The sequence below is a fragment of the Homo sapiens genome, chromosome 4 (assembly GCF_000001405.40).
Source record: "Homo sapiens chromosome 4, GRCh38.p14 Primary Assembly".
NCBI classification, from domain to species: Eukaryota; Metazoa; Chordata; class Mammalia; order Primates; family Hominidae; genus Homo; species Homo sapiens.
In genome coordinates, this window is record NC_000004.12 from 4,037,066 (window position 1) to 4,059,880 (window position 22,815).

At 44.1% G+C, this 22,815-nt stretch overlaps 1 long non-coding RNA gene across 4 annotated transcripts in view, besides 2 other annotated features; it reads left to right on the forward strand.

Moving 5' to 3' along the window:
- Positions 1-22,815, forward strand: part of LOC101928217 (uncharacterized) — a 43,451-nt gene that overhangs the window by 5,362 nt on the left and 15,274 nt on the right. For 2 of the 4 annotated variants that reach the window (XR_001741554.2, XR_001741555.2), the window contains 2 exons: positions 1,864-1,947; positions 4,996-5,084. This is a non-coding gene — a long non-coding RNA (uncharacterized LOC101928217). Of the gene's footprint in view, positions 1-1,863; positions 1,948-4,995; positions 12,588-22,815 lie in introns of those variants that run through there. The other 2 variants (XR_002959776.2, XR_001741557.2) reach the window with 2 other exon arrangements.
- Positions 9,891-10,504: an enhancer, noted in NCBI's record as "OCT4-NANOG-H3K27ac hESC enhancer chr4:4048683-4049296 (GRCh37/hg19 assembly coordinates)". NCBI's record gives its function as "activates a minimal SCP1, AML or CMV promoter by ChIP-STARR-seq in primed H9 embryonic stem cells {active_cell/tissue: H9 hESC(primed)}" and the evidence as "EXISTENCE:reporter gene assay evidence [ECO:0000049][PMID:30033119]".
- Positions 11,119-11,732: an enhancer, noted in NCBI's record as "OCT4-NANOG-H3K27ac hESC enhancer chr4:4049911-4050524 (GRCh37/hg19 assembly coordinates)". NCBI's record gives its function as "activates a minimal SCP1, AML or CMV promoter by ChIP-STARR-seq in naive H9 embryonic stem cells {active_cell/tissue: H9 hESC(naive)}" and the evidence as "EXISTENCE:reporter gene assay evidence [ECO:0000049][PMID:30033119]".

The window sequence follows — 22,815 nt, forward strand, 5'->3', positions numbered from 1 at the left end:
GGGGAGCCCGGAGCGAGCCCGGCTCTCGCCTCATGGCGTTTCTCGCTGGGGCCTCCAAATGTTGTACTTGAAAGAGTTAGAGAAAATGCCACACTTTCACATGAATTAAGAGTCTGCTTATTTAGCTGGCGGTCAAGAAATGGCTAACTCTTAAAGTTCTCTTGGCCCCGAAGAAGGGGCTAGATTTTCTTTTATACTTCAGTTTAGAAAGGGGAAACGGGTCTAGTTAAAAGAATTTTACAGAAGTAAAGTAGGCAAAAAAGTTAAAAGGATAAATTGTTACAGGAAAGTAAACAGTTCTAGGTCTAAGGGCTTTAAGACTATTACAAAATGATAGACGTGGGGCTTTAGGCATTATCAATCGGACAAATTCCTGGGAACTGCGGATATTGCTCGCCCCACAGTATCTTATCAGTTAATTGCATTCTTGGATGTGCTAAGAGTCAGCTTGCACAAGTTAAGTCCTTGAGGAAGGGGCTGCCAGTGAAAAAGCCAAGATAAAAGCTGTCCCCAGTGTTAGAGGTGGGGCCTGGTGGGAAGAGATTGGATCATGGGGGTGGATTTCTCATGAATGATTTAGCGTCATCCTTTTGGTCCTGTCCTTGCAATAGTGAGTGAGTTCTTGCAAGATCGGGTTGTTTACGAGTGTGTAGCACCTCCCACCTTACTCTCTTGCTCCCGCTTCACCTTCTGCCATCATTGTAAGTTTCCTGAGGCCTCCACAGAAGCTCAGCGGCTGTCAGTGTCATGCTCCCTGTATAGCCTACAAAACTGTGAGCCAATTAAACCTCTTTTTTTAATATATTACCCAGCCTCAGGTATTTCTTTATAGCATGAGAGAACAGCCAAATCCAGCAGCCATAGACAATATGTAGCAAATGTGCATGGCTGTGTTTCAATAAAACTTTATTGACAAACACATGTGCAAAGCAGGTCAGATTTGGCCCATGGGCCATAGTGTCCCAACCTCTGCTCTGGAATATTCTCTTCAGCCTGGATGGACAGCCCTAGGTTGGTTTTTTTTTTTTTTTTTGAGACAGTCTCACTTTTGCCCAGGCTGGAGTGCAGTGGTGCAAGCTTTGCTCGCCACAACCTCTGCCTCCTGGGTTCAAGCAATTCTCCTGCCTCAGCCTCCCAAGTAGCTGGGATTACAGGCACCTGCCACCACACCTGGCTAATTTTTGTGTTTTTTAATAGAAATAGGGTTTCACCATGTTGGCCAGGCTGGTCTCAAACTCCTGACATCAGGTGATCCACCCACCTCAGCCTCCCAAAATGCTGGGATTACAGGTGCCCGCCACCACACTTGGCTAATTTTTGTATTTTTAGTAGAGATGTGATTTCCCTATGTTGCCCAGGCTGGTCTCGAACTCCTGATCTCAAGTGATCCACCTGCCTCGGCCTCCCAGAGTGCTGGGATTACACGTGTGAGCCACTGCAGCTGCCCTCTAGATTTTTCTTTTTTTTGACCATTGCTTATTTGTTTTGACTTTCATTTTCTTCCCCATTGTGGTAGTCATTTTCTGAATGCCTGTTAGTTTGTCCATCTCTCTCCTCTGTAGTCCCTAGAGTCAGATGAACTCCTCTGCAGGTGCAATGGTGTAACACTCTCTAGTGCTGAATTTTGAGCAGGAGAAAGAGAGCAAGAGTGACTAGTACCTTTGGAAACTCTGGCCTCCTGAGAATTTGGTGTCTTCTCTGCAAAGGTTGCAAACCTGTTAACCCACAGGCCGGAGAGAGAGACAAGCCAGAATCATGATCTGTTGAGCTTGAGTTTAATATTTGATGCACAGAGATCACTGAGTTTTTTGATAAGAATTAGAGGGGGAAGAAATGGCCACAGAGAACAATTTCTATCTCCAGGTGAGGATTCAGGAGATAATTCTGCAAACAGAACTTCCTGAGAACTGAGATGGGGGAAATCGCTGGTATTAGAAGAGTGAAAAGGTAAGTAATTAAGGCTACGACTGTGCTCTTAGATGCAAAAGAAGAAAATGAGAGTGCCAGGCATGAATAATGAGAAATCTTTGATGGAATTAGCCATGCAGAACAGATAATAAATGCATCCTCATTCTTCTCATAGTCAAAAGTTTTTGCTTAAGCTGGATGGGAAAAAGAGAATCCCATTTCACTAAGTATAAAAGACGGGATTTTAGAGAAGGTCTCAGAAGAAAGAGATGTGGGGGTTTGGTGAAACTCACCAGAGGCTGAACCCTCTCCAGCATAACACAGGGATTGGGAGGAGCGGGGCAGCATTAGGCCAGGTGCATAGCCCAGTGCTGCTCTCTCTGGACTTTCTGCTCTCTCTGGTCTTGTTTGCTAGCTGAGCTCATCCATTTACGTAATTTTCAGTGCCATTTCTCAGCTGATGAGTCCTGAACTTTTGTCTTGAGGCTAGACTTCTCCTTCAAACAGCAGTCTTAAACACTCAACTTCTTTTTTTTTTTTTTTTTTTTTTTTTTTTTTTTTTTTTGAGACGGAGTCTTGCTCTGTCGCCCAGGCCGGACTGCGGACTGCAGTGGCGCAATCTCGGCTCACTGCAAGCTCCGCTTTCCGGGTTCACGCCATTCTCCTGCCTCAGCCTCCCCAGTAGCTGGGACTACAGGCGCCCGCCACCGCGCCCGGCTAATTTTTTGTATTTTTAGTAGAGACGGGGTTTCACCGTGTTAGCCAGGATGGTCTCGATCTCCTGACCTCATGATCCACCCGCCTCGGCCTCCCAAAGTGCTGGGACTACAGGCGTGAGCCACCGCGCCCGGCCAACACTCAACTTCTTTTTTGTTTTTTCCATTTGTCAACTCGTGAACACCTCAACCTTGTTACATCCAAAGCCAAACTCATGGCTTGGATTGGTAGGTGATGGCTGTAATCCCAGTGCTATGGGAGGCTGAGGTGGGAGGATTACTTGAGGCCAGGAGTTTGAAGCCAGCCTTGAAAACACAGTGAGACTCCCTATCTACAAAAAAAAAAAAAAAAAAAAAAAAAAAAAAAAAAAAAAAAAAAAAAAGCTAGGCATGGTGATGTGCATCTGTAGGATCTGTAGTCCTGCTACATGGCAGGCTGAGGCAGGAGGATCACTTGAGCCCAGGAGTTCGAGGCTGCAAAGAGCTATGATTGCACCAGTGCACTCCAGCCTGGGTGACACAGCCAGAGACCATGTCTTAAAGAAAACCCAAAGCCAAACTCTCTTTTTCCTCCTCCTTCTCCATGGGTTCTGTTCATGCCATCTCTGTTCTGCAAATGGCACCACCCCCTGCTGAGCTGCTCAAGGTGGTCATAACTCATGTGTTGTGCTAACTCTGCTTTTGCTCTCTTCTCCAGTCAGCAAGTCCTGTGATTCTAAACTTTATCCAACTTGTCCACTCTCTCTAGCTTCACTGTCATTATCTTTGCCTAGGACACCACTATCTCAGCTGGGCTACAGCAGCCTCCTAACTGGTCTTAACTGGTACTCTGCACCTGCTCTCCATGCTCAGCAATCCATTTCCTACCTGGCAGCTTCAGTGATCTTAAGGTGTCCATTGAGTCTCATCCCTGCCTTTCCTGCCCATGGTACATAGAATAAAATCGAGACCCCGAGTCTTCTGCCTGTTCCTGCCACCTCTCCAGCCCTCTCCTATCTCCTGCCCTTGGCCTACTCTATTTCAGCCACTATGGCCTCCTTTTGTTTTCTTGGACTTTCAAACCTTTTTCCACAACAGGGCCTTTGCACTTACTGCTTCAGCCTGGAATGATTTTCCTCTGCACCTCCCCAGATTAGACCATCCTTTAGGTCTCAGCTAAAATGGTGCTTCCACAGACAGCTCTTTCCTGACCCCTTTATAAAGTGGACTTCCCTGCTCTTCTCCACCTTAACCTCTTATTGTTTCTTGTTGTGGGAAGTCAGGGACCCCAAATGGAGAGGGACTGGCTGGAGCCATGGCAGAGGAACATAAATGGTGAAGATTTCATGGACATTTATCAGTTCCCAAATAATACTTTTATAATTTGTTATGCCTGTCTTTAATCTCTTAATTCTGTTATATTCATAAGCTAAGGATGTACATCACCTCAGGACCACTGTGATAATTGTGTTAACTGTACAAATTGATTGTAAAACGTGTGTTTCAACAATATGAAATCAGTGCACCTTGAAAAAGAAGAGAATAACAGCAATTTTTAGGGAACAAAGGAAGACAACCATAAGGTCTGACTGCCTGCTGGGTTGGGCAAAAAGAGCCATATGTTTCTTCTTGCAGAGTCTATAAACGGATGTGCAAGTAGGAGAGATATCGCTAAATTCTTTTCCTAGCAAGGAATATTAATAGTAATACCCTGGGAAAGGAATGCATTCCTGGGGGAAGGTCTATAAATGGCCGCTCTGGGAATATCTGTCTTATGCGGTTGAGATAAGGACTGAGATACGCCCTGGTCTCCTGCAGTACCCAAAGGCTTACTAGGGTGGAGAAAAACTCCGCCCTGATATACCTGTGGTCAGACTGGTTCTCTGCTCTTGAACCCTGTTTTCTGTTGTTTAAGATGTTTATCAAGACAATACATGCGTGAATGAACATAGACCCTTATCAGTGGTTCTGCTTTTGCCCTTTGCTTTGTGATCTTTGCTGGACACTTATCAGTAGTTCTGCTTTTGCCCTTTGTCCTGTTCCCTCAGAAGCATGTGATCTTTGTTAGACCCTTAGTAGTAGTTCTGCTTTTTACCCTTTGAAGCATGTGACCTTTGTACATACTCCCTGTTCTTACACACCCTCCCCTTTTGAAGCCCTTAATAAAAACTTGCTCATCTGAGACTCAGGGGGAATCACGGTCCTACTGATGTGTAATGTCACCCCCAGCAGCCCAGCTGTAAAATTCCTCTCTTTGTAGTGTCTCTATTTCTCAGCTGGCTGACACTTAGGGAAAATAGAAAGAACCTACATTGAAATATTGGGTGCAGGTTCCACCTATACTTCTTTCATGGATTTACTTATTTTTTATTTGTCCCCCTCTGTATCCTAGAAACTCCTGGAGGGCAGAGGCATGCCTGCCATCTTCATCAATGCATTACCACCACCCAACACTATCGGGGGACCTGCCCTGATAATCAGGTAGGTTCTTTTCTATTTTCCTAAGCGTCGACTGGCTTGAGAAATAAAAGGACAGAGTACAAAAGAGAGAAATTTTAAAGCTGGGCGTCTGGGGGAGACATCACACATTGGTAGGATCTGTGATGCCCCACAAGCCACAAAAACCAGCAAGTTTTTAATAGGGAGTTTCAAAAGGGGAGGGAGTATACAAATAGGTGTGGGTGACAGACATCAAGTACTTAACAGAGTAATAGAATATCACAAGGCAAGTGGAGACAGGGCAAGATCACAGGACCACAGGACGGAAGTGAAATTAAAATTGTTAATGAAGTTTTGGCACCATTGTCGTTGATAACATCTTATCAGGAGACAGGGTTTTGAGATCAACCTGTCTGACCAAAGTTTATTAGGTGTGAATTTTCTCTTCCTAATAAGCCTGGGAGTGCTATGGGAGACTGGAGTTTATTTCACCTCTGCAATCTCGACCATAGGAGACAGGTACGCCCCACGGGGCCAGTTCAGAGACCTACCCCTAGGTGCGCATTCTCTTTCTCAGGGGCGTTCCATGCTGAGAAAAGGAATTCAATGATATTTCTCCCATTTGCTTTTGAAAAAAGAGAAATATGGTTCTGTTCTGCCCGGCTCGCCGGTGGTCAGAGTTTAAGGTTATCTCTCTTATTCCCTAAACAATTGCTGTGATCCTGTTCTTTTTTCAGGGTGCCCACATTTCATATTGCTCAAACACACATGCTGTACAATTTGTGTACTTAACGCAATTATTACAGGTCCTGAGACGATATACATCCTTCTCGGCTGACAGGATTAAGAGATTAAAGTAATGACAGGCATAGGAAATCACAAGGGTATTGATTGGGGAAGTGATAAGTGTCCATAAAATCTTCAAAATTTATGTTTAGAGATTGCAGTAAACACAGGCATAAGAAATTACAAAAGTATTAATTTGGGGAACTAATAAATGTCCATAAAATCTTCATAATCCACGTTCTTCTGTCATGGCTTCAGCCGGTCCCTCCGTTTGGGGTCCCTGACTTCCCGCAACATCTCTCCCTTTCTTTTTATGTAAATGTTCCATGGCGATGAAGGCTTGTTCATTCTCTCGATTTTGACACAGTATTATTTGACTGGTACGGCACACTAAAAGCAAGCCGATTAAGCAGAGAAACATAATTCCAAAATTTACTATAGTGGAGCCCCCAATAGACTTAATCCAAGTTGTGGGGTTTAATCCATAAAGATTTTCTGCCACCTGATCTAACGTCTGAGCTCCAGGCATGATGGATAAGTGAGCTTGGGAGGATTCAAAAATTTGTTTTTTTAATTTAGTTGTGTCCAGTGATAAATTATCTTTTCTACCTAGAAGGTGTCCTTTGACCATTTCCCCATGAATGATCAGTCTTGATATAGGAATACGGGGTGATGCAGAAATCCAAAGTATTCCAATCGCAGTGCATTTGCATGCGATGTTCTAGACTCACTACCCGATCTCCAAGCCAAATAACAGAGTGTCTTAAATCATTAATTTGATTTGCCAATTTTTGATCGATGCCTTGTTGAGAATTCCACATTTGGGTGGAATTGGCTTGCCAATCATTAACAAAATGAGCTGTTTGAGTAGACTGGTGTAATGCCATTCCGGCAGTGGTGGCCATTGCAGTGACTGTAATTAGGCCCATGGTAACAGCGATTAAAGTGAAAACAAATCTCTGAGATCTTTTTAGAATGCTTTGTACCACTTCATTAATTAAATGTATTGAGGTGGAGGATTCCCAAGGTCTAGGTAAAGTTATCGGAATCCAGATTCCTTCTTGAGCTCGAACCAACATTACACTTTTCCTGGAGTCAAAATGGGAGTTAATACAAGTGTATAGATGACAATTGACGCATTGGACAGTTTGATTATTCATCCAAATTTTGATATTTCCTACCAATAGCATGTAAGGAGGCTTAACACAACTCTGTATGGGAACAGTCAGGTTGGAGGTAAGTAAAGCAGAATGTCTGGGTCTACAATGATACTGAGAGTGGGACGGTAGTGGGAACAACAGTCAAAATAGTTTTTCCTTCCCATACTCGCAGTTCAGACATGGCAATAGCCAATTTCCAAAATTCTGGGTGTTCTGGGCTCAGAATAGGGAGTATCATACGAGGCCTGGGGGGGTGGTAATGCCTTTATCTTCCCATTTTAAGGGAAAGAATGAGCTGGTCCTTGTATGCAAAGTAGAATGATTATTCTCTTTCTCCTGGTAAGAAATAAAATAAGTAGCCTCCAGGCATTCCCTTCCACGGAGGAGCAATTGTTTTTGAAATAGCCCTTTGGTGCCCAGTCTATTACTAAACCATATGAGTCATTTTTCAATATTACTGCATGTGAGTTAACACAATCTTCCCAAATTAAAGTTTTAGATGGGCCCTCAAAATGTTTAGGGCATGGTTTTCCTGCAGGTTTATATTGAAAGTATGCGGTACCTCCCATTACTCCTCCTTTCATTTGTTTTAAAGGAGAAAGGGAGAGGCCAGAGACCAAATGTCCCATTTTATCTGTAGCAGATGTTTCTAAAAGATAAGCAGCCCAGAACTGAGTTTCTAGATGGATGCAACCAGGTGCATGTCGGAGGCACAGAGGTGGGTATTTCTAACCCATGGTAACATTAAATGCAGTGCCTTCTTCTCCTGGTTGAGCAGGGCAAGGGTCGTCTATGGCTCCAGGCATCCACACACTATCGTTAGTGTAGATTTCTGCGGGAGCATCTATCCAGGTGAGAGGATGAATGAGTGGAGGAAAAGGCACATAAGCCCAATAAGAATAATTCTGTGTAGCAGGTAAATCAGTGTGAGAGGAAACTGGTGAGACAGAAAGTATAAGGAGGAGAATCATTAAATAAAACCTAGTGTAAGCGAGATGGAGTGCTGAAGGAGAAAGAGAAGAACAGAGGGATGTTATTTTCAGGCTAATAGAAATGGTGAGATATTTAGGTTTGTAAGGAGAAAAAGAAAGGTAATCAGGAGAAGTGTGATTAGTTAGATGGGTCTCCAATGCCATCAGGGAGGACTGATTTACACCCATTGTGATTTGGTGTGCCTGTTTCTGAGGAGTCGGCACAGATCTCACCACATCTGAAGGCAGTCTCTGACACAGACGTCTCTTCACTGTGGTTTTGTCAGTATTCACAAGAAGCTTGAGTCTTCTGGTAGGTACCCAGACAGGGGATTGATGATCTCCTGGTGAAACACAAGCATATCCTCTTCCGCAGGTTAAGTAGAATAAGAGACAATATTTAAAGGTTTGGGGAAATCTTGTAAGGCAGTAATCACAGCAATTAACTCCGCCTTTTGAACGGAAGTATAAGAGGTAGAAATAAGTTTGTCTGCAGGACCTATATAGCCAGCACTGCCTTACTAGAGCCATCAGTGAATACTGTAACGGTCTCAGGAATGGGTTGATTTTTGGTTAATAGAGGAACCACCCAAGACGTTATTTTTATAAAATCAAACAATTTGTTTTTTTGGATAATGATTGTCAATAACACCAATAAAATCAGCCAAGTGAATTTGCCACAGTACAGAATGTTGAAAGGCAGCTTGAACTTCGAGCTGATTTAAAGGAACTACAATTACATTTGGATCAAATCCAGAAATTTGAAGTATTCTGCACCGAACCTGTCCAATTAATATGGCTATTTGGTCTAGATAAAGTTTTTGACACAGAATGAGGAAGAAAACACCACTCCACTAAATCATTATGTTGAACTATTAGTGCAGTAGGGGAGTGTAATGAAGCAAAAACCAGAAGCTGAAGAGGCTGAAATGGCTGTACTCTAGATAACTGGGCAGTCTGGATTTTTTCCTCTACAAATTCCAGATCTAGTAAAGCCTCAGGGGTCAAAGTCCTAGGGCTGCAGAGATCAGAATCTCCCCGCAGCATAGAGAACAAGTTAGACAGGGCATAGGTCGGAATGCCTAAAGTAGGTCTTAAATAATTAATGTTACCCAAAAGTTTTTGGAAGTCATTTAAAGTTTTTAAAGGATCTCTCCTAATTTGAACTTTTTGAGGTTGTATACATTTTTTATCGACCACCATTCCTAAATATTGAACAGGAGTGGTCTGTTGAATTTTATCCTGAGCAATGTGTAATCCAGCCTCTGTAACACAGCGGCTCAAAATTTGGTAACAGTCAATTAATTTTTTATCAGTGGGGGCAGAAATTAAAATATCATCAATATAATGAAGAATATAGGCGTCGGGAAATCGGGCTCAAACTGGTGAAAGCTCTTGTCCAACATAAAGCTGGCAGATTGTAGGGCTATTTAGCATTCCCTGAGGAAGTACTTTCCATTGATAACGAGCTACAGGCTCCTGATTATTGATAGATGGTACAGTAAAAGCAAATTTTTCACAATCCGATTTATGTAAAGCGATATGAAAAAAAAAAAACTCTTCAAGATCACTAACTATGAGAGGCCAATCTTTAGGTATTAAAGCAGGGGCAGGCATGCCGGGTTGGACGGCCCCCATAGGTTTAATTACAGCATTAATGGCCCTTAAATCGGTTACCATCCGCCATTTGCCTGATTTCTTTTTTACTAGAAACACAGGAGAATTCCAAGGGGAAAGAGAAGGTTCCACATTTCCAAGCTGTAACTGCTCAGAAACCAATTGATTTAAAGCCTCCAGTTTTTCTTTAGAAAGCGGCCACTGCTGAATCCCAGGGCCACGTGTCTTATCTCCTTTGTTTAAAAGGATATTAGGTAGTAAAAGCAATTGAGCTTGTTTAACATAGTAAAAGAAACAGGAGCTTGGGCTGGGGAGTGTAATTTCTCCCAAGCTCTCATACACACTTTTGTTACTTGTTCTGTGGTAAGAGTATCAAAGTTTAATTGGGCATAAGCATCAGAGAAACTATCGGAGCCTGTGAGCTGAGCCTGAGTAATTAGAATGCCATTACTCCGATTTAGCTGAGCCTGTAAACAGGCCTCCTCTGACCACCAGGCTGAGATGGACTTAGAACAGCTTTTTGCCAAAAGATCACAGTCTAAAGGAAGCAAAACGACCTCAGTATAAAAAGTTTGCAATGCCATTTGAACATGAGGAAACGTAGGACCATACTGAGTACAAGCATCCTTAAATTGTTTTTAAAAAGGTAAGATTGAGCGGCGCATATCGACGCAGACTGGTTGAGGAACTGAAACGACAGGAGGGTGAGGGGTTGTAGTGGATGGGGGAGGGCCCGGAGAATGACAGGTAAATTGTAGTTTGGTCCCAGAGCCATTAGTTGATGCTGGAGGTTTGAAGAGAGAAGAATTAGCATATTTATGGTACCGGGCTTTGTGATTCACAGCCGCAGGAGTTTGAAGTACCGGCTTTTCATGAGAAGAAGAAAAGCAGGGGGTAACTTTAAGCCAAAGTTACCAGAGTTAGAAATCGAATTTTCAGAATCGTTAGGTAGGGGAGGGGTAACTGAAGGGAGAGTCTGAACGAAGGCCATGTGCGAGAGGAAGGTTGAGAAAAAGGCAGAGAAACTGAGGAAAAGGCAGAAAACTGTGGCAACTGCAGGGGGTCACGAGATTGGCAAGCCACGAAGATGGCACGCACCAAGCACCCCAAACAGTGATGGGAACACAATACCCGGCCGAGACCAGTTTTCGGAATGCTTTACGAACACTATCACACAATTTTATATACACGGTTCCTTTTTCAGGAAACCAAGAACAATATTTTTCTACTGCCCTGAATAGAGTGATCATATTTTTCATGGTTACCTGTTTTAACAGGAGTTTGTTAGATTACACATTACCCATAGTTAACCCAGACCTTACACAGATTACTCACCACTCGTCGGGGAGTTGAACACGCTTATCTGTGGACCAAGCCGATTGACGTTTCACCGCACCTACCAAAGGGAATCCGGTTCCCTCATGCACTTAGGAAAAAAGAAAGACCACGTGGGCGCCAGATATCGGGAGACCTGCCCCGATAATCACGTAGGTTCTTTTCTATTTTCCTAAGCGTCGACTTGCTTGAGAAATAAAAGGACAGAGTACAAAAGAGAGAAATTTTAAAGCTGGGCGTCCGGGAGAGACATCACACATTGGTAGGATCCGTGATGTCCCACAAGCCACAAAAACCAGCAAGTTTTTATTAGGGAGTTTCAAAAGGGGAGGGAGTATACAAATAGGTGTGGGTGACAGACATCAAGTACTTAACAGGATAATAGAATATCTCAAGGCAAGTGGAGACAGGGCGAGACCACAGGACCGAAGTGAAATTAAAATTGCTAATGAAGTTTTGGCACCATTGTCATTGATAACATCTTATCAGGAGACAGGGTTTTGAGATCAACCGGTCTGACCAAAGTTTATTAGGTGGGAATTTTCTTTTCCTAATAAGCCTGGGAGCGCTATGGGAGACTGGAGTTTATTTCATCTCTGCAATCTCGACCATAAGAGACAGGTACGCCCCACGGGGCCAGTTCAGAGACCTACCCCTAGGTGCGCATTCTCTTTCTCAGGGGCGTTCCATGCTGAGAAAAGGAATTCAGCGATATTTCTCCCATTTGCTTTTGAAAGAAGAGAAATATGGTTCTGTTCTGCCCGGCTCACCGGCGGTCAGAGTTTAAGGTTATCTCTCTTATTCCCTGAACAATTGCTGTGATCCTGTTCTTTTTTCAGGGTGCCCACATTTCATATTGCTCAAACACACATGCTGTACAATTTGTGTACCTAACGCAATTATTACAGGTCCTGAGACGATATACATCCTTCTGGGCTGACAGGATTAAGAGATTAAAGTAATGACAGGCATAGGAAATCACAAGGGTATTGATTGGGGAAGTGATAAGTGTCCATGAAATCTTTACAATTTATGTTTAGAGATTGCAGTAAAGGAAGGCATAGGAAATTACAAAAGTATTAATTTGGGGAACTAATAAATGTCCATAAAATCTTCATAATCCACATTCTTCTGTCATGGCTTCAGCCGGTCCCTCCGTTTGGGGTCCCTGACTTCCCGCAACACAGCACAGTGCCTGGCACAAAAGAGTTGCTCAATAAATAAATCAGGATGAATAGATAAATACACGGATAGGCACTTTGAACTACAGATGAGCTTAAATACTTTGTGTTTTTCTTAGTCAAACATGTGCAATTAAGCATGTGATAAATGTTATGATGACCACACCTGTGTCTTGCCTGACGTTCTTTGCAATCACTAAATGAAGTCAATTGTGCCTGTTTTGACAGTTCTATTTTCAACCTAATGATCTGTTTATTTTAACTTCTGGCTGTTGGCTTTGTTTGGGTGTGTTAGCCTGACAAAGTGGTAGATATTAGTATTTGCTGTTTTGTTTAAATGTCACGAAGTTTAAAAATGCCTTTGCTTTTGGTAAGAAACCCTAGTTAGGACACTCTAGTGGTCAGGATGATTTGGGTTCTGGTGCAGTAACAACAATCCCCAAATCTCAGTGGCTCCATGCAGTGAGGTATTTGTTTGTTTGTTTTTGAGACAGGGTCTCACTCTGTCACCCAGACTAGAGTGCAGTGGTGCAATCTCAGCTCACTGCAACCTCTGCCTCCCAGACTCAAGTGATTCTCCTGCCTCCTGAGTAGCTGGGATTACAGGCCCCTGCCACCACTGTCTGGCTAATTTTTGTACTTAATAGAGACAGGATTTCACCATGTTAGCCACGCTGGTCTTGAACTCCTGACCTCAAATGATCCACCTGCCTTGGCCTCCCAAAGTTCTGTAACGACAGGCATGAGCCACCATGCCTGGCCACAGTGAGGCTTATTCTTGGTCACGTTGCATGTCTGGGCTGTGTTAGGGCATTGTGTGGTGGTCTGTTCATTGTGTTCACTCAGGGATCCAGGCTGACAAAAGCCCCATCTCTGCATGTGTCCTTGATCACCACTTCAGGGGAAAGGGAATGTGGTGGATCATAGAGCCTCTTAACACTTCCACCTGGAGGCGATTCAAGTTGCTGCTGCTCATGGTTCATTGGACAAAACGGATCACAGAGTCATGGGCAACTTCTCTGTGCCTGGAAGGGGAAACAAAATATGAATAGCCACATTGATTTTCCCTAGATATTACACAGAAGGCCTCATTTAAACACAGTTACTTATTTGTGTTTTGAAGCTAATTGTAGTCCATCAACCTTCACAGAAGATATGTGCACTTCCAAGCTATTATTAAGCACAATTTTTTTTTTTTTTTTTTTTTTTTGAGACAGAGTCTCACTCTCTTGCCCAGGCTGGAGTGCAGTGGCATGATCGTGGATCACTGCAACTTCTGCCTCCTGGGTTCAAGTGATTTTCATGCGTCAGCCTCCCAAAATGCTGGGATTACAGACACCCACCACCACTCCTGGCTAAGTTTTGTATTTTTAGTAGAGACGGGATTTTACCATGTTGGCCAGGATGGTCTCGATCTCCTGACCTTGTGATCCACCCACCTTAGCCTCCCAAAGTGTTGGGATTACAAGCATGAGCCACCATGCCTGGCCCATTTAACTTCTATATTACTTTCCTGTTGGTGGATTTACCAGTGCATACTGAGCAGCTTAAAGCACCATCCAGTTATTATCTGTTTCCATGAGCCAAGGGTCTGGGCAGGGTTTAACTGGGTCTTCTATTCAGGGTCACAATACGGCAACCAGAGTGTCAGCTGGGGTCTCATCGGATGCTCAGTGTCCTCTTCCAAGCTTATTCAGTTTGTGGACTGAATTCAATTTCTTGCAATTGTTGAACGAAGGCCCTTAGCTCCTAGAGCTGCCACCTCCAAAGACAATTCACAGCATGGCCATTTGTGTCTCCTTGGAGGCTAAGGGTTGAATCTCTGAAACTTCACCTTTAAAAGACTCACCTGATTAGGTCTGGCCCACCAAAGATCATCCTGCTTTGGATGAACTCAAAGTCAGCTGAGCAAATGTGCTTAACACAGCAAGTGTGACCATAATCACATTTGCAAAATTCCTTCCCCTTGGCCAAATCACAAGCTCTGCACACACTCAAGAAGAGATGATACAGGGAGCAGATATAAGGGAGTGGGTCTCTTGGGGGCTGTCCTAGAATTCTGCCCATTACAACTTCCTTTCTCAATGAACAGCAGGCCTGGGGAGAGACGATCACGGATGAGAGCAGCCCACAGGGTGTGAGCGCCAGGTGCTGGCGTAGGATGCAGGAGGCTGCCAAGCAAGTATGAAAAGCCTTCTGTGGGCTGGGTGGAGTGGCTCACACCTGTAATCCCAGCACTTTGGGAGGCTGAGGTGGGTGGATCATGAGGTCAGGAGATCGAGACCATCCTGGCTAACAAGGTGAAACCCAGTCTCTACTAAAAATACAAAAAATTAGCCAGGCGCGGTGGCGGGCGCCTGTAGTCCCAGCTACTCGGGAGGCTGAGGCAGGAGAATGGCGTGAACCCGGGAAGCGGAGCTTGCAGTGAGCCGAGATTGCGCCACTGCAGTCCGCAGTCCGGCCTGGGCGACAGAGCGAGACTCCGTCTCAAAAAAAAAAAAAAAAAAAAAAAAAAAAATAGCTGGGAGTGGTGGCACACGTCTCTAACAACCCAGCTCCCCAAGTGAGCAATTCCTGTCCCTTTTAAGGTCTCACAACTCTAAGGGGGTCCGTGTGAGAGGGTCGTGATCGTGAGAGAGTCGTGATCGATTGACCAAGAAGGGAGTATGTGACTGGGGACTGCATTCAGCAAACCCCATCTCTACTAAAAATAGCAAAATTCAGCAAAGCCTCAGGATAAAAATCAATGTGCAAACATCACAAGCATTCGTAAACACCAATAACAAACAGAGAGCCAAATCATGAGTGAAATCCCATTCACAATTGCTTCAAAGAGAATAAAATACCTAGGAATCCAACTTACAAGGGATGTGAAGGACCTCTTCAAGGAGAACCACAAACCACTGCTCAAGGAAATAAAAGAGGATACAAACAAATGGAAGAACATTCCATGCTCATGGGTAGGAAGAATCAATATCATGAAAATGGCCATACTGCCCAAGGTAATTTATAGATTCAATGCCATCCCCATCAAGCTACCAATGACTTTCTTCACAGAATTGGAAAAAAACTACTTTAAAGTTCATATGGAACCAAAAAAGAGCTGGCATTACCAAGTCAATCCTAAGCCAAAAGATCAAAGCTGGAGGCATCACGCTACCTGACTTCAAACTATACTACAAGGCTACAGTAACCAAAAAAGCATGGTACTGGTACCAAAACAGAGATATAGACCAATGGAACAGAACAGAGCCCTCAGAAATAATGCCACATTATCTACAACTATCTGATCTTTGACAAACCTGACAAAAACAAGAAATGGGGAAAGGGTTCCCTATTTAATAAATGGTGCTGGGAAAACTGGCTAGCCATATGGAGAAAGCTGAAACTGGATCCCTTCCTTACACCTTATACAAAAATCAATTCAAGATGGATTAAAGACTTAAATGTTAGACCTAAAAATCATAAAAATCCTAGAAGAAAACCTAGGCAATACGATTCAGGACATAGGCATGGGCAAGGACTTCATGGCTAAAACACCAAAAGCAATGGCAACAGAAGCCAAAATTGACAAATGGGATCTAATTAAACTCAAGAGCTTCTGCACAGCAAAAGAAACTACCATCAGAGTGAACAGGTAACCTACAGAATGGGAGAAAATTTTTGCAATCTACTCGTCTGACAAAGGGACCTATGACTTTCTTATAACCAAGAGAATATGGCAGAGGTGATGGGATGTAGTGATTATGTCAGATAGGATGTTAAGTTGTCTTGCTAGGAGGCTATCTTGCTGGCTTTGAAGATGTGAGCTGCCATGTCATGAGTGGCCAGATGGAGAGGCCCATGTGGCAAGAAGCTGAGGACAGCAGGAACCTGGGGCCCTGAGTCCAGCAGCCTGCAAGGAACTGAATGCTGCCAACAACCAGATGAGACGGGAAGCAGATCAATCACCAGTCAGGCCTCCAGATGAGAACTGAGTCCTGGCTGACATTATGGTTGCAGCCTTGCACTGAACCCAGCTGAGTCACGCCTGGATTCCTGACCCACAGAAACCACATAGTGATAACTGTGTGCTGTCTCAAGCCACAAAGTTTGCAGTAATATTGTTGCACAGCAATAGATAACTAATATAAAAACTGTCCTACATCATGTACATTACTGAGCAAAATGTAGAACCTGGATTTAAGCTCTGATTTCAGAGTTGTGGTCTCAGTCTCCCCAGGGAGACCTGTCCTGGGAGACAGTTATGCCAGGCTGTGATGCTGTGATGATTGTTCTCTTCCTACCCAGAAGCCTTTCAATAGGCAAGTCAAGCATGTGACCCCAGCTACATATACCAAATGTATTCCTGACAAATGCCAGGACATTGTGAGCTTTCTTGTTTTACTGAGAGCTCCATAAAGGAAGGAACATCTCTTTTTTTTTTTTTTTTTTTTTTAAGAGTCTCACTCTCACCCAGGCTGGAGTGAAGTGGTGCGATCTCGGCTCACTGCAGTCTCTGCCTCCTGGGCTCAAGGGATTCTCCAGCCTCGTCCTCCTGAGTAGCTGGGATCAAAGGTGTGTATCACCACACCCGGCTAATTTCATATTTTTGGTAGAGACGGGGTTTACTCATGTTGGCCAGGCAGATCTTGAACTCCTGGCCTCAAGTGATTCGCCTACCTCGGCTTCCCAAAGTGCTGGGATTACAGGCATGAGCCAATGCACCTGGCCTGTCTTTTTTATGTTATGTCCATGTGAAACAGCCCAGTGGTCAGCACACAAAGGGGTCCAAATGTGAAAGGAAAGGGCAAACACAGGGGAAACCTAGGGGTGTTCAGAAATAGTTCCCAGGTCACTGCCTGTTTCAATATGTACAGTCCTGGGCCCCACGCACAAGATTCTGACTTGGCAGGTCAGAGTTGGAGATGGGGAGCTACCTGGTTACGAGGGATCCCAGTGCATTTTGAGGCAGCTGATTGTTAAGACTGCATTGTAAAAATTACCCCACAAAGATGTGAAGGGAAACAGAAAGACATTGGCAGGCTAGAAAACAACACAAGTAAAACATGAACAAGTTCATTCCAGAAGGAGATTCTCAAACACAGCTGCACATCAGAATCACCTGGGGAGATTTTAAAACCCCAGTGCCCGGGCTCTGCAGCCCAGATCAATTATTACAGAATCTCTTGGGGATGAAACATGGGCATCAGTATTTTTGGTTTTTGTGTGTGTGCGTTTTTTTTTTGTTTTTTTTTTTTTTTGAGATGGAATCTTGTTCTGGTCACCCAGGCTGAAGTGCAGTGGTGCGATCTCAGCTCACTGCTACCTCTGCCTCCCGGGTTCAACCCATTTTCCTACCTCAGCCTCCCAAGTAGCTGGGAATACAGGTGTGCACAGCCACGCCTGGCTAATTTTTGTATTTTTAATAGAGATAGGGTTTCACCATGCTGCACAGGCAGGTCTCGAACTCCCAGCCTCAGGTGATCTGCCCACCTTGGCCTCACACAGTGCTGGGATTACAGGCATGAGCCATTGCTCCTAGCAGTATTTTTTTAATGAGGCAAAATTCACATAACACACAAGTCCCTGTATGAAACCATACTCTTCAGTATCATTAAATACATTCACAATGTTAAGCAATCATCATCTCTGTCTAGTTCCAAAACATTTTCATTAACACCCCCCGCCCAAAAAAAAACCCTGTATCCATCAAGCACTCTCCATCTCCTCCCCTTTCCCCCAGCTCCTGGCAACCACTTACCTGCTTTCTGCCTCTATAGATTTGCCTATTCTGGGCCTTTCACATAAATGGAATCATGTAATATATATAATAACCAAAAGGTAGCAACAACCAAGCTGGCCATTTGGTTGATGAATGAATAAACAAAATGTGCTGTATCCATACAGTGGAAGTATTGGTGCCTACTACATGTGGATGGACATTGGAAACATCACGCTAAGTGAGAGAGAGCCTTGGTATTGTCTCATCTCCCCAGGAGATTCCAAGGTGCAGCCAAGGTTGAGACCCACTGACAAGCAATGGATATGGTTGGGTGCAGATGAAATAAGGCAGCCAGGGGCAGGAGGAATGTCTCATTGACGATGACTGTTTGTGGATGCCAAGCAGGGGTGGGGATGAGGGATGATAACAGCAACCCCAATCCCAACACAGCGTGACCGATTTTATCTTCAGCCAGCTGATACGCCTCATGGGGTTTGGACACAGGACACCTCTGCCTCCCAGGTTCAAGCGATAACACCTGCCTCAGCCTCTTAAGTAGCTGGGATTACAGGCATGTACCACCACGCCTGGCTAATTTTTGTATTTTTAGTAGAAACGAGGTCTCGTCATGTTGCCCAGGTTGGTCTCGAACTTCTGGCCTTAAATGATCCACCCACCTCAGCCTCCCAAAGTACTGGGATTACAGGCATGAGCCACAGTGGCAGCCTCCAAATTCTATTTGAAGTTTGACTTTCCCCCTCCAGAAAATCCAACCTTTTCCCAAGTCACAGTGGGGCAACCCGGAGTTAATTTGAGAGAAATGTGCTTTTAAAAACAACTCCAGGCCAGGCGCAGTGGCTCACGCCTGTAATCCTAGCACTTTGGGAAGCCGAGGCGGACGGATCATGAGGTCAGATCAAGACCATCCTGGCCAACATGGTGAAACCCCGTGTCTACTAAAAAAATACAAAAAATTAGCAGGGCATGGTGGCACATGCCTGCAAGCCCAGCTACTCGGGAGGCTGAGGCAGGAGAATCGCTTGAACCAGGGAGTCAGAGGTTGCAGTGAGCCAAGATCGCGCCACATCACTTTGGCCTGGGCGACAGAGTGAGACTCCATCTCAAAAAAAAAAAAAAAAAAAAATTATAAAAGGTCACCTTTACTGAGCACACACTATCTCATTCCATCCCTACATCAGCCCGTTATTTCACCAGTGGGGAAGCAGGGACACAGAGTAGTTAGGTGGGATGCCCAAGGTGGGACCACTCGTGTGAAGTTCCCACACACTAATATGAGACCCTCCATGACACAGCCCCTCTCTTTCTCCAGCCTCATTTCCTGATTCTCTCTCTTGCCCTCTAGGCTTCAGCCACACAAACTTCTTGAAAGTCCCTTAAATCTGGCTGAGCGCAGTGGCTCACGCCTGTAATCTCAGCACTTTGGGAAGCTGAGGCGGCTGGATCACCTGAGATCAGGAGTTCCAGACCAGCCTGGTCAACATGGTGGAACCCCATCTCTACTAAATATCCCAAAATTAGCCAGGTGTGGTGGATGGCACCTGTAATCCCAGCTACTCGGGAGACTGAGGCAGGAAAATCGCTTGAACTCGGGAGGCAGAGGTTACCGTGAGCCAAGATCTCACCACTCCACCCAAGCCTGGGCGTGAAGAGTGAAAGTCCTTCTCAAAAAACAAGTCCCTTAAATCTGCTCTATGCCTGTCAACCTCAGGGCCTTCACTGTGCTGTTTCTCACCCTGAAATGCTCTTCCTCATTTCTCTACATAGTGAACTCATCCCACCCCCTAGGCCTCTCCTTAAGTGTCATCTCTTCAAGGAAGATTTTACTTTTTTAATATAACTATTAAAATATAATTCAGGTACCGTATGATTTGCCCATTTAAAGTGAACAAATCAATGGTTTCATTGCATTCACAGAGCTCGGCAACCACCATCATGATCAATTTTAAAACATTTTCATCACCCCAAAAAGAAACCCTATATCTATGAGCAGGTTCCTGCCATTTCCTCCTCCCACTAAGCCCTGACAATCTACTTTTTTTGAGATAGAGTGTCTGTCACAGGCTGGAGTGCAGTGGCACAATCTCGGCTCACTGCAACCTCCACCTCCCGGGTTCAAGCAATTCTCCTGCCTCCCGAGTAGCTGGGATTACAGGGATGTGCCACCACGCCCATCTAATTTTGTATTTTTAGTAGAGACAGGGTTTCTGTCTTCATAGATTTGCGTGTTCTGGACATTTCATATAAATGACATCTTAGAATATGTGACATTTTGTGACCGGTTTCTTCCACTTAGCTTCATATTCTCATAGTTCATCCGTGTTGTGGCACGTGTTAGTACTTCATTTCTTTTGATGACTGAATAATATTCCATTGCATAGTCAAACCATGTTCTATTTCTCCACTCATCAGTAGACAAGCATTTGTGTTGTTTTCACTTTGGCGCTATTATGAATAATGCTGTTATGAGCATTTGTGTACAAGTTTCTGGACGGACATATATTTTCATTTCTTTCATAAACTGGAGTGGAAGTGCTGAGTCATAGAACTCTGTGTTTAAGCTTTTGAAGAAGTGCCAGACTGTGTAAGGAAGAAAGCCTTTCCTCACCCTGTGAGACTGAGCTCCCTCTCTCCATTTATACATTCTCTTTAAGCCCTTTGCTTCTCTTTCAGAGCAATTCACGTTGACCTGGGTCACCCTCAACTTAAGGCTCATAACTCCCCTAGATCCTCAGGGTCCACACTAAATGTGATGAAATATGATGCAAGCCACATATTTACATTTGCATTTTGTAGTAACCACATTTTAAAAAGTAAAACAAAAGAAGTGAAGGTAAATGGAATAATATCACAGATTTGAACAAATCTATCCAAAATACCAGGTCAACATGTATAAAATATTTTAACAATAACAAAATACTTTCCTTTCTTTTTATATTAAGTCTTCACAATCTAATGTGTATTTGACACTTCTCACATATTTCAGAATGATGGCAGCAGCCTATATGGGGGGCCCGCCCATGATGCCAATGATGGGCCCTCCTCCTCCTGGGATGATGCCAGTGGGACCTGCTCCTGGAATGAGGCCGCCCATGGGAGGCCACAGGCCCATGATGCCTGGGTGCCCAATGATGAGACCTCCTGCCCGTCTCATGATGGTGCCCAGTCAGCCCAGAGTGACTCGACCAGACAGATAAGGATAGAGGGGAGGCCTCATTGCATCAGTGTGGTTTTGTTTTTGTTATTGTTGTGTTTTTTTTTGTTTGTAATGTTTTGTTTTGTTTTTGAGACAGAGTCTTCCTCTGTCACTCAGGCTGGAGGGCAGTGGCATGATCTCAGCTCACTGAAACCTCCACCTCCCGGGTTCAAGCGATTCCCCTGCCTCAGCCTCCTGAGTAGTGTGGGACTACAGGCGTGTGCACCATGCCCGGCTAATTTTTTTTATTTTAGTAGAAACGGGTTTCACCATGTTGGCCAGGGTGGTCTCAATCTCCTGACCTCGTGACCCACTCGCCTCATCCTCCGAAAGTGCTGGGATTACAGGTGTGAGCCACTGCACCTGGCCTATATGAATTTTATATTTACCTGCTCCCTTCACTAGGAGATCATGCTGCTGTGATATCGGGTTTTCTTAACAGCATAAGGAAGACTTGCCCCCTTGCCCTATCAAAGAGAATAGTTTTGGAGGGGAGAAGTGGGGCTAGAAAAGATGCAGTTTTCATTTGTATTGGGAATTGTGAAAATAAAATTGCCAACTCCTTTAGTTAAAAACAAAAAAAAGAAAAGGAAACAAGATGTGGGGCTGCCATATGCAATACCGTGGATTCCACGGATCTTTTACTCTGGAGGCAAATATTATCTTTGCTGAAGCCAGACCAACCTGACACAAAGACCTTTTGGTTTTTAAATGTGACTGTGTTTTATTTTAGAATGTGTAATTCACTTTAGAAGGGCAAAGTACCTGTCTGGGGAAGACTATTTAATTTCCTGCATTTATTTAGAATGTTGGCTGATGTTATTATGAAGGGAAACAGCTCTAACAACTGAGAGCCCCCCACATAGACACAGCTCATGAGTTCACAGGGCAAAGGAATTGAACAGCAGCCTCCTAATAGCCGGCCTTCTTTGTGATGTGGAAATAATTATCAGCATGTAAAAGACTATATATATATTCAACAATTCTGATCCCCTGCAAAATTCAAATCTACAACTGATTTGCTTCCTGGGCTCCTGAAAACAACTTTGTCAAAATTGTTCAGAAATATAATCAGCCAATCGTTGCCCCTTGGGGACGCAGGATAAAGCAAGTCAGCCATGACCAATGAGGAGTCGGCCGTGCACAATTACATGCAGACCTGCAGGACATCGAGTCTCTGCTATGGTCCCTCCCCAGTCAGGCCCCCATTGCCTGGGCTGCAGCCAGAAGCATTCAGGCACAAGTGCATTCAACAAATACTTATTTAATTGTATTGGTGGTTAGAGGGTTGCGATTGATTAAGGTACATTAATGGATCAATGTCTTCCCTGTATCCAAGACTCTGTCATTTGTCTCTGCAGTTCCTCCCACTGAAGAATCGGAGTATATTTCTCCAGTCCCTAATGTTGGGTTTTGAATTGTGTCTAGCTCTGGCCACTGGAATATTAATCTGTATGACCAAAAACTTGGAAAGTGTGCATTCATTTGTGCTCGCTTACTCCTGCTATCACCATGAGAACAAACCCAGTCCAGACTGCTGCTTCCAGCAGAAGATAAGACATACCAAGAGCAAAGTCGAGCTTCCCAGACATGCTCATGCTAGATTGACTAATCCTCAGTTGACCCATAGATCCATGAAAATAAACGATTGTTGTATTAAGCCACTGAGATTTGGAGTGACTTGTTATACAGCATTTTGTGACAACAACTAACTGATACAAGGGTCACTGTCCTTTATCTCTGTAGATTTTAACCAATTTTTAATAGCTAGATGGAGATCTTCTAGTTGCCTTTATTTATAATGA